Source organism: Homo sapiens, chromosome 1, assembly GCF_000001405.40.
Source record: "Homo sapiens chromosome 1, GRCh38.p14 Primary Assembly".
NCBI classification, from domain to species: Eukaryota; Metazoa; Chordata; class Mammalia; order Primates; family Hominidae; genus Homo; species Homo sapiens.
Genome location: NC_000001.11, coordinates 35,450,328 through 35,464,703, shown reverse-complemented (window position 1 = coordinate 35,464,703; position 14,376 = coordinate 35,450,328). Strand labels below are relative to the sequence as shown.

Genomic DNA, 14,376 nt, shown 5'->3' with positions numbered 1-14,376 from the left:
TCTCACATGCCCTAGAGACATTTTCCCCATTTTCTTGGGGATTAACTTTCAGCTCCTCATTACTAATGCAGATTTGTGAAGCCAGCTTGAATTTCTCCTTAGAAAATGGGATTTTGTTTTCTATTGCATTGTCAGGCTGCAAATTTTCTGAACTTTTATGTTCTACTTCCCGTATAAAACTGAATGCCTTTAACAGCACCCAAGTCACCTCTTGAATGCTTTGCTCTTTAGAAATTTCTTCTGCCAGATTCCCTAAATCATCTCTCAAGTTCAAAGTTCTGCAGATCTCTAGGGCCGGGGCAAAATGCTGCCAGTCTCTGCGAAAACATAGCAAGAGTCACCTTTGCTCCAGTTCCCAACAATTTCCTCATTTCCATCTGAGACCACTTCAACCTGAACTTTATTGTCCATATTGCTATTAGCATTTTGGGCAAAGCCATTCAACAAGTCTCTAGGAAGTTCCAAACTTTCCCACATTTTCCTGTCTTCTTCTGAGCCCTCCAAACTGCTTGAACCTCTACCTGTTACCCAGTTGCAAAGTTGCTTCCACATTTTTGGATATCTTTTCAGCAGCACCCTACTCTACTGGTACCAATTTACTGTGTCAGTATGTTTTCACACTGCTGATAAAGACATGCCCGAGACTGGGCAATTTACAAAAGAATGAGTTTTAATGGACTTAGAGTAGCACGTGGCTGGGGAGGCCTCACAACCATGGCAGAAGGCAAGGAGAAGCAAGTCATGTCTTACATGGATGGCAGCAGGCAAAAAGAGAGCTTGTGCAGAGTAACTCCTGTTTTTAACACCATCAGATCTTGTGAGACTCATTCACTATCATGAGAACAGCACAGGAAAGACCCACCCCCATAATTTAATCACCTCCCACCAGGTTCCTCCCATGAGGTGGGAATTGTGGGAGTTACAATTCAAGATGAGATTTGAGTGGAGACACAGCCAGACCATATCAACAGTGGTACATATACAGCATAAATTCTCAATGCTCTTTTCTTTCTTGGTAATAGATTTTCTTTTCATTCCTTGTACTTTGTAGCCAAGATAATCCTTTCACCTTCTTAAAAATGTGATCAGCATCAAGACCATTTGATCATTTTGCAAAGAAAATGCCATGGATTTGTAGCACACAGTCATTTGGGTGGACCAGAGTGGTTTGTGACCTTCCCATCACTTAACCCATAGTTAGTTCACATACAGTGAGCTCTAGGATGGTTGAGAAACCACCCATCAGCTTTTCAGCACAGTCTGTGCCAAGGGACGGTTTGATTGCCAAGGTCTTTATTGCCCACAGCTTGTTTGTTGTCTGCTTCTAGTCAGGCTTGGCTGAAAGGAGTCACTTGCTGCTGTAGTACTTTTCATCAACTAGATAGCACATGAGCATTGAAAGAATACACAGGGCATGGTCTTAGGAATGGTCAGATTTGGAAGAGGCTTTTATACTCCGAAGTGTCTTATGTTAGAATGGCAGTCTGGTCTTGTGACTCTCCTGTGTGGTGATGCTTCAATCATTAATTATGTAATGCAGGGGTCCCCAGCCCCAAGGCCATGGACTGCTATCTGTCCGTGGCCTGTTAGGAACTGGGCTGCACAGCAGGAGGTAAATGGCGGGTGAGTGAGCACTACTGCCTGAGCTCTGCCTCCTGTCAGATCAGTGATGGCATTAGATTCTCACAGGAGGATGAACCTTATTGTGAACTGCACACGCAAGGGATCTAGGTTGTACACTCCTTTTGAGGCTCTAATCCCTGATGGTCTGAGGTGGAAGTTTCATCCCAAAACCATGCACTGCACCCCAGCCCCCAACCCCCACCACCCGTTCATGGAAAAATTGTCTTCCACAAAACTGGTCCCTGGTGCCAAAAAGGCTAGGGACCACTGATGTAATGGAAATTGATTTATAATCCTCTCAGATACAGCCTGCTCCTGTAATTTCTGAAGCCTCTTTCCCAATTTCTTTTGGGTCACTTTCTTGCAGAGCCCCGTAAGAATCGGCCCCCCATTGCTATTGTGTCACCTCAGTTCCAGGAGATCTCTTTGCCAACCACTTCTACAGTCATTGATGGCAGTCGTGAGTACTTGTCTAAGTATGATGTTTTAGAAGAACATTCACCGTGTACTCTGATAGAAAACTCTAGTAGAAGATTTGGGGCCAGCTGTGTCTGCGTTCTGTTTAGGCCAGTCATCTTGACCATGTTAGGGGAAGGCCAACCATCTGAAGCAACTGACTGAAAAGCAACACACCAGACAGGCCTTCTTTAAAATCCCCAGGTAGCCTATTTGAAGTAATATTTCCACTTTGAGATGGTAAGAAACTGAAACTATGCATGTAATTAGCATGATTTTAGTTGAAACTCACTGGTTTTCAGATTTGCTTAGTTGGAGTTGCCTTTTTCATTCATGGAACCAAAGTTCCTTCCAATCATAGCAAGGTAAGTAACTGGGAGGCCTGACTGAGGAGCTTTTACCCAGCCATCACTTGCCTAACGAGATTCTCATCAGCCGCCTCCTGGAGACACTCACAGAATGCACTCCACACCCTGGTCTGGGCTTCTTAACATTTTACTCTTCAGAGTAGTGTCATCCAGTGAGTGACATGAGAGGATTTTGGGTCTTTGCCCTTAATTGTGGCTGTATGGTGCAAGAGGTTTCAGACCTATCCTCTCACCAGTATTTGCTTGGTTTTTGGTTTTGTTTTGTTTTGTTTTGTTTTGATTTTTTGAGACCGGTTAAGGTCCTTTACCCTGACTGTCTTGGCACCAGCGATGGTTTTTGGGAGAGGCAGTCACAGCTTTAGCAGAGGACCCTCTAACAAGGTTAAGCGTTTGATGTTGATGGTGCTGGCAAGAAGAGGAGGCTAGGAGGATGATAGTAGGCCAGGAGGGAAGAGAGGGAACAGGAAGAAGCCCTTGTGATAGAGAGTGGTAGAAAGGGCTCACGTTGTACTGTTTTATTTTACAGTTTTGAATAGGTGAAAGTTAAATAAATATGCAAATGTATACAGTGAAAAGAATCATACTATCCGTGTGTCCTAAGTGTCCGGTTTTCCTCCAGACAGTCAATGGTGTTATTATTTTATGAATCCTTTTAGAGATATTTTATACATATATAAGAAAATATATATATAGTCCTTCTGTCTTGTGTTTACACAAATGAAAGCACATTATATGTGCTGTTATGTGTGATGCTTGTTTTTGTATGTTGGAGAATTTTTCTTTTTTTTTTGAGACAGAGTTTCGCTCTTCTTGCCCAGGCTGGAGTGCAATGGCACAATCTTGGCTCACTGCAACCTCCACCTCCTGGGTTCAAGCAATTCTCCTGCCTCAGCCACCTGAGTAACTGGGATTACAGGCACGCACCATCAAGCCTGGCTAATTTTGTATTTTTAATAGAGACGGGGTTTGTCCATGTTGGTCAGGCTGGTCTCAAACTCCTGACCTCAGGGGATCCGCCCACCTCAGCCTCCCAAAGTGCTGGGATTACAGGCATGAGCCACCATGCCTGGCCTAGAGAATTTTTCTTAATCAACACATAAGATGCTTATTCTTTTTTTTAAAAAATGATTAAGTAGCATTCCATCATATAGATGTATAATTTCATTGTACGAGTTCTTACTTGTTTTCAGTCAATCTCTATTGATGACCATTTAGATTACTTTCATTCTTTTGCTATTACAAACAATGTTACCATGAATAATCTTGTAAACATGATGTTTAACACATGTACAAGTATATTTTTAGGATAAATTCATAGAAGAATCGCAGGGGCAGAGATAAATATTGCCAAAGTACTCATTATAGAGGTTGTGTCAGTTTATGCTTATACCATGACTAATGAGAGGTCCTCTTTCTCCACACCTTTACCAATATAATGTGTTATGAAATTTTGGTCTTTACCAATTTTGTAGGTTAAAAAAATGCTATCTCAAGTGTAAATTAATTTGCATTTCTTTTAAGTGAGGTTGGGTATTTTTTCATGTGTTTAAGAATTATTGCTTTTCCTTTCTTCATACAGTAGTATTTTAACCAGAGGTTGCCTGTGTTGGAGTTCTTGGAAAACTACACAGTAGAATATACATAGAGAGGCAGAATGACCCAGTATTCCTAGGGAAGAAACATTCTGGAGAGATAGTCTGTAATTTCATGAAGTTTTCCTAGCTTCAAATCTCTGGGTAGTTGTCCTGGTTTGTGTAAACTGGATAAGTGCTAAGACCAAGCGTTCTCATGTTGTAACTGATGTTTCTTTATGGTCAAGAAAGCACTGATGATGATAAAATCGTTCAGTACCATTGGGAAGAACTTAAGGGGCCTCTAAGAGAAGAGAAGATTTCTGAAGATACAGCCATATTAAAACTAAGTAAACTCGTCCCTGGGAACTACACTTTCAGGTAAATTAGGATTCAGCTTCAAGTTTACCATAGGCCATTTTTTTGCCTCTCGTGGGTTTTACATTGTTATATGAGTAACTTTGACAAATATCAAATTCACTGTGGAGTTGGTTGATAATACAGCTTTTGGTTCCATTGGTTCTCTGAGCCCTATGGTGATTGTGATTACAACAATGGTAACTTTTTAGGGCAAAGGTTCTTGTATAGTAGATCAGGATCTGCCACAGTTAATCTTTCTCAAGCCTTATCTGGCAGGTCTCCAAAAATTTTTTTTAGGATTTCTGTTGTTAAATGAAAAGGCCCATCTTCCTTTGCCTCTTCTCAGGCAAAATCTGAAAGACCTACTCTCATTTTTTTCTTCCCTTTGGAAAATGCTTCCTCAGCTTACGTACCTCATAATCTTTATGTTTGACTAGTGGTTTTCATTCTCTGCTGGGGCTTTTGGGGAATTTGATTCAAAGAAAGTACATTTGGGGAGCTAGTATTGATATTCTAGAGTGATTACTAAAGCTTTGAAGCTGACTCTAGAGTAATCCTCCTTATGTTTGCGTAATTCCTTGTATGTTAAAAAGCACTTGTATTAATATATGAGTATCATACAAACATGATATATAGATGATACTATCTTCATTTGACAGCTAAGAAAAATGAGGCTTCTCTGAAGTCTCACAGCTGGAACTTAAATGCACATTTTCTTTTTTTTTTTTTGAGACAGAGTCTTGCTCTGTCGCCCAGGCTGGGGTGCAGTGGCGTGATTTCGGCTCACTGCAAGCTCTGCCTCCCGGATTCATGCCGTTCTCCTGCCTCAGCCTCCCGAGTAGCTGGGACTACAGGCACCCACCACCACGCCCGGCTAATTTTTTTGTATTTTTAGTAGAGACCGTGTTAGCCAGGATGGTCTTGATCTCCTGACCTTGTGATCCACCCGCCTCAGCCTCCCAAAGTTCTGGGATTACAGGTGTGAGCCACCGTGCCTGGCCCTAAATGCAGATTTTCTAATCCTGAAGTCAGGGTTCATTCCACTTCACTCCTTGACTTGATCCATGTATTTTGTTCATACTTCCTTTAATTCCCTTCTCAATCTGTTCAAGTTTTGCCCATCCTTAAGAACCTCCTCAATTTCCATGAGGTTCTCTGAGATCCCTCCAGACAGGAGAGAATATGGCTCTCCTCTTTCCCTATTGCACTCAGGGCCTCTATGTGGCATTTACCATAGTGTGACAGTTTATCCATGTCTATCTGTCTTCCCATGAATCTGAGATTAACCAAATTTTAGATGGTGCCAGAGACACAGAAATGAGTATCCTAGCACAATACCTACCATATAAATCAATATGCAACTTCTGACTTAGCAGGATTTCCATTGATTCAACACTTCAGGTGAATGAAAAGTAGCTGCCAGTACAACAAGATTGGAGCCTTCTACGTCGCTTAAAATGGACATTTGAGCTGGTTTTCACCTTAGATTTCTAATGTCGGAATTTTTCTATTTACAGAATTCAGCTTGGGCCAGGTTGATCCTTTTAAAACATAGTAACAATGATAGCTGATATTTCTTGAACATTTACTATGTGCTAAATACTATTCTGAGCTCTTTGCTGGCAGTATTGCATTTAATTCTTATAACAGGTATTATGGTTATCCTCATTTTACAGATTAGGAAATTTTGGCACAAAGAGTTTAAGTAACTTGCCCAAGGTCACACAGTCTAACTCTAGAGTCTAAGCTTTTAACCACAAGGTTAACCTACAGGTTTTTTAGTGGATGGGGTATGAGAGTGATTTTTTTTTCCTAACCTTCATTTTAAAAAAAATCTATGAAATGATATGATTTGATTTGATTAGCATTAAGGTTGTAATTCACTCACCTTTTCCTCTCTCTTTTACATGGCAGTAGCCTTTTTCCTCAGCCCTATAGTCAGCTGCTGTTTGGTTTCAGGATCTTTGCAGGCAAGCCAGGGACTGTTTGAGGTGAAAGAGAAAATGGGCAGCTGCCATTTTGCCGTCTGTCTATAAGGTGCTTTTGTCCTGACATAGGAGACAAATGGCATATGTTAAAAACAAAAAACAGGCTGGGCGCAGTGGCTCATGCCTGTAATCCCATCACTTTGGGAGGCTGAGGCGGGTGGATCATGAGGTCAGGAGATCGAGACCAGCCTGGCTAACAAGGTGAAACCCCGTCTCTACTAAAAATACAAAAAAATTAGCTGAGCATGGTGGCAGGTAGCTGTAGTCCCAGCTACTCAGGAGGCTGAGGCAGGAGAATGGCGTGAACCCAGTAGGCGGAGCTTGCAGTGAGCCGAGATCGCACCACTGCACTCCAGCCTGGGCGACAGAGCGAGACTCCGTCTCAGAAAAAAAACAAAACAAAAAAACCCAAACCTGTGAAAACAACAGAGAAACTAGGAAAAGAGGCAAAACTTCTGTAAATTTTTGTTTTTCAGATATCTGCTGATTGGTACATGTTTGTGTGTCTGAGGTTTTTGTGCTTTTTTCCTAAAGGCTGTAATACCAAAAATCCCCTTCACACCATAGGTAAAAGGTGAGACTGCAGGATAAAACCTCACTGACGTCTGGCCCTGTCTGTGGCTGGTGGTGAGATTTAAACAAACTACATGTCTTTTCTATGCTTTTCCTCTTTCTGTCAGCAAAATGGAAAGATCCCAAACCTCCTTGCTTGCTTATGCTCACATTTTGAGGTGGCATGAGAAGCTTTAGGCTGTTCAGCTGGAAGGCATCATTTAGGTAAAAGCCTGCTCTTATAAATGAACATTTTTTTTTATTTTCTTTCTTTCTTTTTTTTTTTTTTTGCAAATCCTGTGTCTCACTGGCACAAATTGTGGGACTGTTGCGTAGGAGAATTCATTTTCATCTCAAGCTCCTGCCTTACTGGAGCCAGCCCTCCTGGTTCGTCCCGCAGGCTGTCTGCCTAGGATGTCCATCGTTGTGATGTGTAAACAGCTGGAACAGGATGATGGGAAAACAGCCTGCTGCAGACGGAGCTTGCACTACATAGCGTAGGGAATCGGGAATAGGGACTAAGAATTACCTCTTCTTAAGATTTGGTTTCTGAGCTTTGGAATCAGAGAACTATGCTTGCATCTTGGCTCACTATATAGCCCTTGGGTGGGTTACTTAGCCTCTCTAAGCCTCTTATAAAACTGGAATCAATGATGCCTACTCTATATGGTTGTTATGAGGGCCATATCAGACAATTCTTATAGAGACCTCAGGACACAGATGCGTGCAGGCAGCAGCAGGACAAAATGGCGCTGGAGACATATTGCCTGGATCAGAACCTGACTCCACTGCTTTCAAGCTGTATGACCTTGGGCAAGCTTGCTTCCTTCCTTCCTTCCTTCCTTCCTTCCTTCCTTCCTTCCTTCCTTCATTCCTTCCTTCTTTCCCTCCCTCCCTCCCTCCCTCCTTCCTTCCCTCCCTTCCTCCTTCCCTCCATCTCTCCTTCCTTCCTTCCTTCCTTTTTCTTTTTTTTTTTAAATGAAGTTTCCCTCTGTCTCCCAGGCTGGAGTGCAGTGGTGCAATCACAGCTCACTGCAACGTCCGCCTCCCGGGTTCAAGAAATTCTCTTGCCTCAGCCTCCCAAGTAGCTGGATTATAGGCCTGCACCACCATGCCTGGCTAATTTTTGTATTTTTAGTAGAGATGGGGTTTCACCATGTTGGCCAGGCTGGTCTCAAACTTCCAACCTCAGGTGATCCGCACGCCTTGGCCTCCCAAAGTGCTGGGATTACAGGTGTGTGCCAACGCACCTGGCCTCTCTGTCTTTCTCCTCATATATGTGAGGAGTAAAATGAGGATGATACTTTATAGAATTGTTGTGAGGATTTAATGAGATATAAAGAACTTGGAGCAGTGCCTAGCACATCATAAAACTTCAGTCAGTGTTAGCTTCTAGTAGTACTTTCTGCTTCTCCAATAGAAGTGGGTAAGAATAGGTAACCTTGCCACATTGGTATTTCTTAGCCTTAATTTTCAGTCTTCTAGTGTTTATTCCTCTTTCCTTAAACCCGTCCCTGATCACACTCCTCTCTCTGCCCTGATAGCTTGACTGTAGTAGACTCTGATGGAGCTACCAACTCTACTACTGCAAACCTGACAGTGAACAAAGCTGTGGATTACCCCCCTGTGGCCAACGCAGGCCCCAACCAAGTGATCACCCTGCCCCAAAACTCCATCACCCTCTTTGGGAACCAGAGCACTGATGATCATGGCATCACCAGCTATGAGTGGTCACTCAGCCCAAGCAGCAAAGGGAAAGTGGTGGAGATGCAGGTAGGAGGGAATGGTTCCTATTTTTTCTTGCCCAAGAGAAGTAGAGCTGCTGGACTGCATTTTTAGAAACCTCCAAACAAACTGAGAAAGCTTTAGGGGCCTTTGATTAACGTGGTAGCAAAAATCTTTATCTTGGCCGGGTATGGTGGCTCACGCCTGTAATCCCAGCACTTTGGGAAGCTGAGGCGGGCGGATCATGAGGTCAGGAGTTCGAGACCAGCCTGGCCAACATTGTGAAACCCCGTCTCTACTAAAGATAAAAAAATTAGCCGGGCGTAGTGGCGTGCGCCTGTAATCCCAGCTACTTGGGAGGCTGAGGCAGGAGAATCCCTTGAACCTAGGAGGCGGAGGTTGCAGTGAGCCGAGATCACGCCATTGCACTCCAGCCTGGGTGACAGAGCAAGACTCCATCTCAAAAAAAAAAAAAAAAAAAAAAAAATTATCTTAAATGTTTAGTATTAGAGGAAAAGGCTGAGAAATGTTAGTTGTTCTGGATGACTCCAGAGAGTCAAACTATTTAGAAGCTACAAGGGTGCAAATCTTAGTGAGCTCTATAACAAGTTAGAGTAGATTGGCTAGATGGTGAGTATCTTCTCTCTAGAGATGCTTAAGAAGAGAGACTAGATCTGTCACCAGGCAGGTAACATAAAGAAAGAAAACTGGATGGTGGCTGTGCTGAACTTAAGCCCTGACTAAAGGAGTCATCTACTCTTCAGGTCCAGCTGGTTGTTGCCACATGGAAGGATGGTCCTAACATTGCTTGATAACCCAGCTTTTCAAGAGAAGAAAGAAATTGAGACCTTTATGTGAAAATTTCCAATATGAGAGACACCACAGGCCAAAAAAAATATTTGCAAGCTGGATTCAGCCCATGGGCTACTAGTTTTTGCCTACTGCTCTACAGGAAGTTCCTGCATTGGAAGTTTGCCCAAAATTATTTATAATGTCCCTCAAGATTCTATATTTCTCAGTTTTAAGGCCTCCCTTAAAGCCTCCATTTTACCTGACTTTTGTTTAAATGTTATGTTAGGTTGTTGCAGAACCTGTACAGACCTGAAGGAGACAGTATGGTGTTATACAGCATCTTGAGCTGCTGCCATGTTTCACTGAGACAGCTTTGTTAGGAGCACTGTGTAGCTTCAGTAGGAAGAGGATCTTTTTAAACAGTGTTTTTAAAACTGGGTCATTTATTGTTTGTTCACGGTATTCTTTCTGGTTTGAGTCATAGAGACTGGCCTTGGTAATCTCTGCACATTTCCCAATACTGCCCTCTCTTATGAGAGTTCTGGCTTTATTTGAAACTGCTGCTGTGTCAGAGAGGGTTGTTTCCTTGAAGGGGGAAACCCTTAGCAAGGTGCCTCATGATATCTGACTCCATATTCACTCACATGCTGAACTGGTACGTAATAGCCCAGTACCATCTTAGGTCTTTGGTTTAGAAAACTAAATCGTTTTTACCAGAGTCGGAATTATTGTGTGATGTGATTCCTGGAGTCCACTTTTCCACTTCTGTATTTGTATTTGTAGGGTGTTAGAACACCAACCTTACAGCTCTCTGCGATGCAAGAAGGAGACTACACTTACCAGCTCACAGTGACTGACACAATAGGACAGCAGGCCACTGCTCAAGTGACTGTTATTGTGCAACCTGGTAAGCTCCAGCCTTGTGGTTCAGGCTCTTCTATTGGTGGGTCCATTTAACCTTGGGGGAAAAGAGTGTTGGGTTCTGAGCTGTATGAGGGTAGAAGCAGAAGGCACCGATCCATAGAGCCTCTGGTGACTTCTATTGTTCCTTCCCCTTGTGCTTTCTTCATAGCTAGAGATGAAGGATACTTCCCAGCCTCAGCTTGTGCCCTTCCCTTGGCTTGTTGTTGGTACCTTCAAAGAGACCTAGGAAATAGAGTTTATGCCATCCCAAATCCTAAAAAGTAATTGCGGTTTTTGCCATTCCTTTCAATAGCAATTACTTTTGCACCAACCCAATACCACGTCCTTGAAGGGCCTGCTTAAAACTGACTTCCTCAGGACAGCCCTGTCTTGTCACTCAAATCCTTTCATTTGAACTCCCTTAGCATTAGAGTTCAAGTTTAGTATGGCATTATAACTTCATTATGTTCTATGTTTCTGTCAGAATTGCTTGATATGTTTCAGCCTTATATTCTTTATTGTGTGCTCCCTGACGGTAACCACATCTCCCACAGTATCTGACAGTTCTGTGGCCTGAGAGGCAGAGTCCATGGCTTCCAGAACATGTGTCCCAATTGGTTCCTCTCCTTTCCCACCTGGACTGGCTGCTTTTGACCTCTAACTCTTTGTCTTCCAGAAAACAATAAGCCTCCTCAGGCAGATGCAGGCCCAGATAAAGAGCTGACCCTTCCTGTGGATAGCACAACCCTGGATGGCAGCAAGAGCTCAGATGATCAGAAAATTATCTCATATCTCTGGGAAAAAACACAGTGAGTATTGACACAAAATCCTTATTTTTGCAAAGCCTCCAGACCTTGGAAGAGCAAGGTTTTATTTGCTATTATGAGTTGAGTTGCTCTTATTGGCTTATCCAGTGGGGTGACTGAGGAAGAAATGTTTGCAATTCCAAACTTCAACTCCAAGAAAATGATATTATAATCATAATTTTTGTAAGAAAAAAAGAATGCTTGCCATCAACTAGTCCCCAGGTAGTACTGTGTGATCCTGGTGCTTTTTCAGGTACAATCCATCTGCTGAAATGCAGAGTTTAATTACACTTGAGAGGCAGGATGGAAGGGGTAATGGAGCAGAAAAATACTGTTGCTCAGAATTAACTGGGTAAGGCTGGCACGGGGGATGGGGCAGAGCAGCTATTAAGAGAAATTGAAAATACATCCATAAAATGAAAGCATTACTCTGTTATTGTTTTCTTGAAGACACCATTTACCAATTAAGTTAGCCAGAGGCCAAAGGCGGTAATCAAAATAATTCTAATTACATAGAAATTACCTAACTGAACCATTCTTAGTTCCTGTAGTTTCTTTTAGCTCCTTTAAAGCATAACTAATGCAACTGAAATTATATGCAGGATCCCACAAGTAGCAAAAGAATTCTAAGAAGAGTTAAAAGTATTCTCTGTTTCCAAAGGTAGCAACCATAGGACAGCCTGGGTTTTTTTTTGTATTGTGTTTGTTTGTTTGTTTGTTTGTTTGTTTGTTTGACAAAGGCATTGGAGATGGGTGGAAAAGAACTTTAATTTGACTATACAAATGACTTGCTTTTGAGATTGCTGAGTTGGAATCTAGAAATTATTTCCCTCAGCTCTTGTTTTTATCTTTTGTAGAACATAATCTTACCCAGCCCAGGGTGTTTTTAATTATAATTGTTTATTGAAGATATGGCTGATAGACCTTTTAGCTGAGTTTTATTAGTGTTTACAGCAGAGATAATGCTTAGCATAGCTTCTTGAAGGAGACTGTGCTTCAGGAGGAGCTACCAGGATCAGAGGCTGTAACTTTAAAAGGCAAAACAAAGTAAATCCTGGATGTCTGCAGATTTCTCTGGCTTTCCTGTAGTTAAAAGCTCTGGGGCATTTTGATCCTTGAGCAGAGGGCTCTCTGGCTGTGTGCAGCCTGAATGTTGGCACAGAGCTCCCTTGGCTGCTGCAGGCAAGTCTCTGAGGCCACAAGGGGGAAGAAGGGTTGTAGGGTGTCCTAGGTGCTTGATGGCCCCTGTCCAGGAGCTGGAGGGAACTTTGCTTATAGAGTTGCTACAAACAAGATGATTTTGTCCTGAGAGTTCCTCTGCAGTCTTGCCCCATTTCCTTTTCTTTCATCAGGAAGGATTTGGGCACGTGATTAAGAAATGCATTTTGCTTCCTTGCTGGCAAGAGCCAAACCAACTACTGGGCCAGAAATGCTTTTTAGAAACATCACTCTTAAATCATTCTTTTGATCAGAGACTTGCTCAGAGAACTTTCTTCCTTTTACAAACTAGAATGGTAAAGCGTTCAAGTGTTCTAGAAGCTCATATAAAGGATAAGGCTAGAGGTGTTTGAAAGCTATTTGAATTTTCTGACCAGCAGGCAGCCTGTATTTTGAGGCCAAATGACACTTTGTCCAATTGAAATATTTTTAAACATGTCTTGTCAAGGTCTGGGTAACAGTAGTTCGTGTCTTTGCTGAGGGAGTCATTGTCTCCTCCTGCTAAGTTAGGGACAGGACAGCAGCAGACAGGTACAACTCTACCCTCTAGTTTCTTTTTTTGCAGGGGACCTGATGGGGTGCAGCTCGAGAATGCTAACAGCAGTGTTGCTACTGTGACTGGGCTGCAAGTGGGGACCTATGTGTTCACCTTGACTGTCAAAGATGAGAGGAACCTGCAAAGCCAGAGCTCTGTGAATGTCATTGTCAAAGAAGGTACCTCTCTGCCTCCAGTTTGTGTAGCAGCCTCTTAGGGTCAGATAGCTGAAGAATTTATCCTGTCATGTTTGCCTGCAGAAATTGATTAGAGATAGCAAGAGGTGGGTAAGAGGGTTGGGGTGAGGGCAATTGTTATTTTCTTTTCTAAAACAGCCTTTAATTGGACTGTAAGGTGAATTTTAACTTCCCTCCCTCCTCCTGCTTACATCTTCCCTTCCCTCTCATCCCCTTACTTTCTTTTCAGTCCTCCCTCCTTCCCTCCTTACTTTATTTCTCAGTTGAATAGGGAAAGAATTAAGGGTTCTATTCTTTGCATTTTTATTTTGCCCCTCTGCATTGCTGAGACCTGGGCCGTGACTCCTGTTAGCTACAGTGACACCTGCTGTCAGGCTTGAGAATGACGGCCGCACTACAGCTGACTATGCTTGCCCTGAGCCTTTGAGCTGAGGCCAGCCAGAGGCCTTGCTCTAGTTTACAGGCACAGTGACCAGTGAGAGCTGTGGGAGAGGGCCTTAAGTTGAGGGCCTTAAGTTGATAGCAGGAAAAACCATCAGATATGCAGACCTCCAGACATAAGATACCAAGCTGAGTAAATACTGCACAGACATCTGAATATACAGAGCTTCACGTGGGGCTCCGAATAAGAGAGGTAGCTCTTTGTTTTCTCTTGTGAAGTTCCAAGGAAGGGGTCCAAAAAGATATTCAGAGAATAACATTTTAAGATATTTTGAAGGAGAATTTGCAAGATCAGCTAGGTGAAACCTAAACTCCAAGGTTTTAAGCCAGTTTGGGCCGTTATTTCTGATCATCACATACCTCCAAAGCAGAGAAATGGATTCCATTTGGGAAGGCTGCTGGGAGAATATGAGAGGAAAGCACACTCGTCCCCTCTGTTGTACAGTGTTAGGAGAACATTTCTCTGGGTAGGACTGGAACCTCAGGACTGCAGCGCTGGTAGCTTTCATCTACACTGTTGGTTGGTGGCAGGGACAGGCACTTAAAAAGGTTCTCCAGTTAAGGTACTCTTGATGTTTTAATTTCCCCATAAGCATCATGAAGAAACATTTCTTCTTTTCCAGAATGTCACATTATGTCAATGATTTCTTTTTGATTAGAAATAAACAAACCACCTATAGCCAAGATAACTGGGAATGTGGTGATTACCCTACCCACGAGCACAGCAGAGCTGGATGGCTCTAAGTCCTCAGATGACAAGGGAATAGTCAGCTACCTCTGGACTCGAGATGAGGGGAGCCCAGCAGCAGGGGTAAGTGTGCTAGGAGCTGGAGAGCTACAC

The 14,376-nt window shown here is 42.8% G+C and overlaps 1 protein-coding gene across 18 annotated transcripts in view, besides 2 other annotated features; it reads left to right on the top strand.

Annotated features, from left to right (window-relative positions):
• The window catches only part of KIAA0319L (KIAA0319 like), a 124,170-nt gene that overhangs the window by 92,958 nt on the left and 16,836 nt on the right, over positions 1–14,376 (top strand). For 9 of the 18 annotated variants that reach the window (XM_006710909.3, XM_047430826.1, NM_024874.5 and 6 more), the window contains exons 8-14: positions 1,991–2,083; positions 4,267–4,399; positions 8,463–8,691; positions 10,219–10,342; positions 11,015–11,147; positions 12,928–13,076; positions 14,195–14,346. In XM_006710909.3, the coding sequence (XP_006710972.1) occupies positions 1,991–2,083; positions 4,267–4,399; positions 8,463–8,691; positions 10,219–10,342; positions 11,015–11,147; positions 12,928–13,076; positions 14,195–14,346 (1,013 nt within the window). Of the gene's footprint in view, positions 1–1,990; positions 2,084–4,266; positions 4,400–8,462; positions 8,692–10,218; positions 10,343–11,014; positions 11,148–12,912; positions 13,077–14,194; positions 14,347–14,376 lie in introns of all 18 variants that reach the window. The other 9 variants (XM_017002369.3, XM_047430825.1, XM_017002366.2 and 6 more) reach the window with 1 other exon arrangement.
• Positions 2,208–2,307: an enhancer, noted in NCBI's record as "active region_728". NCBI's record gives its function as "activates an Ori minimal core promoter by ATAC-STARR-seq in GM12878 lymphoblastoid cells {active_cell/tissue: GM12878}" and the evidence as "EXISTENCE:reporter gene assay evidence [ECO:0000049][PMID:35858748]".
• Positions 13,425–13,604: a silencer, noted in NCBI's record as "fragment chr1:35916701-35916880 (GRCh37/hg19 assembly coordinates)". NCBI's record gives its function as "represses an EF-1alpha promoter that drives an FKBP-Casp9 reporter gene in an ReSE screen in HepG2 liver carcinoma cells {active_cell/tissue: HepG2}" and the evidence as "EXISTENCE:reporter gene assay evidence [ECO:0000049][PMID:32094911]".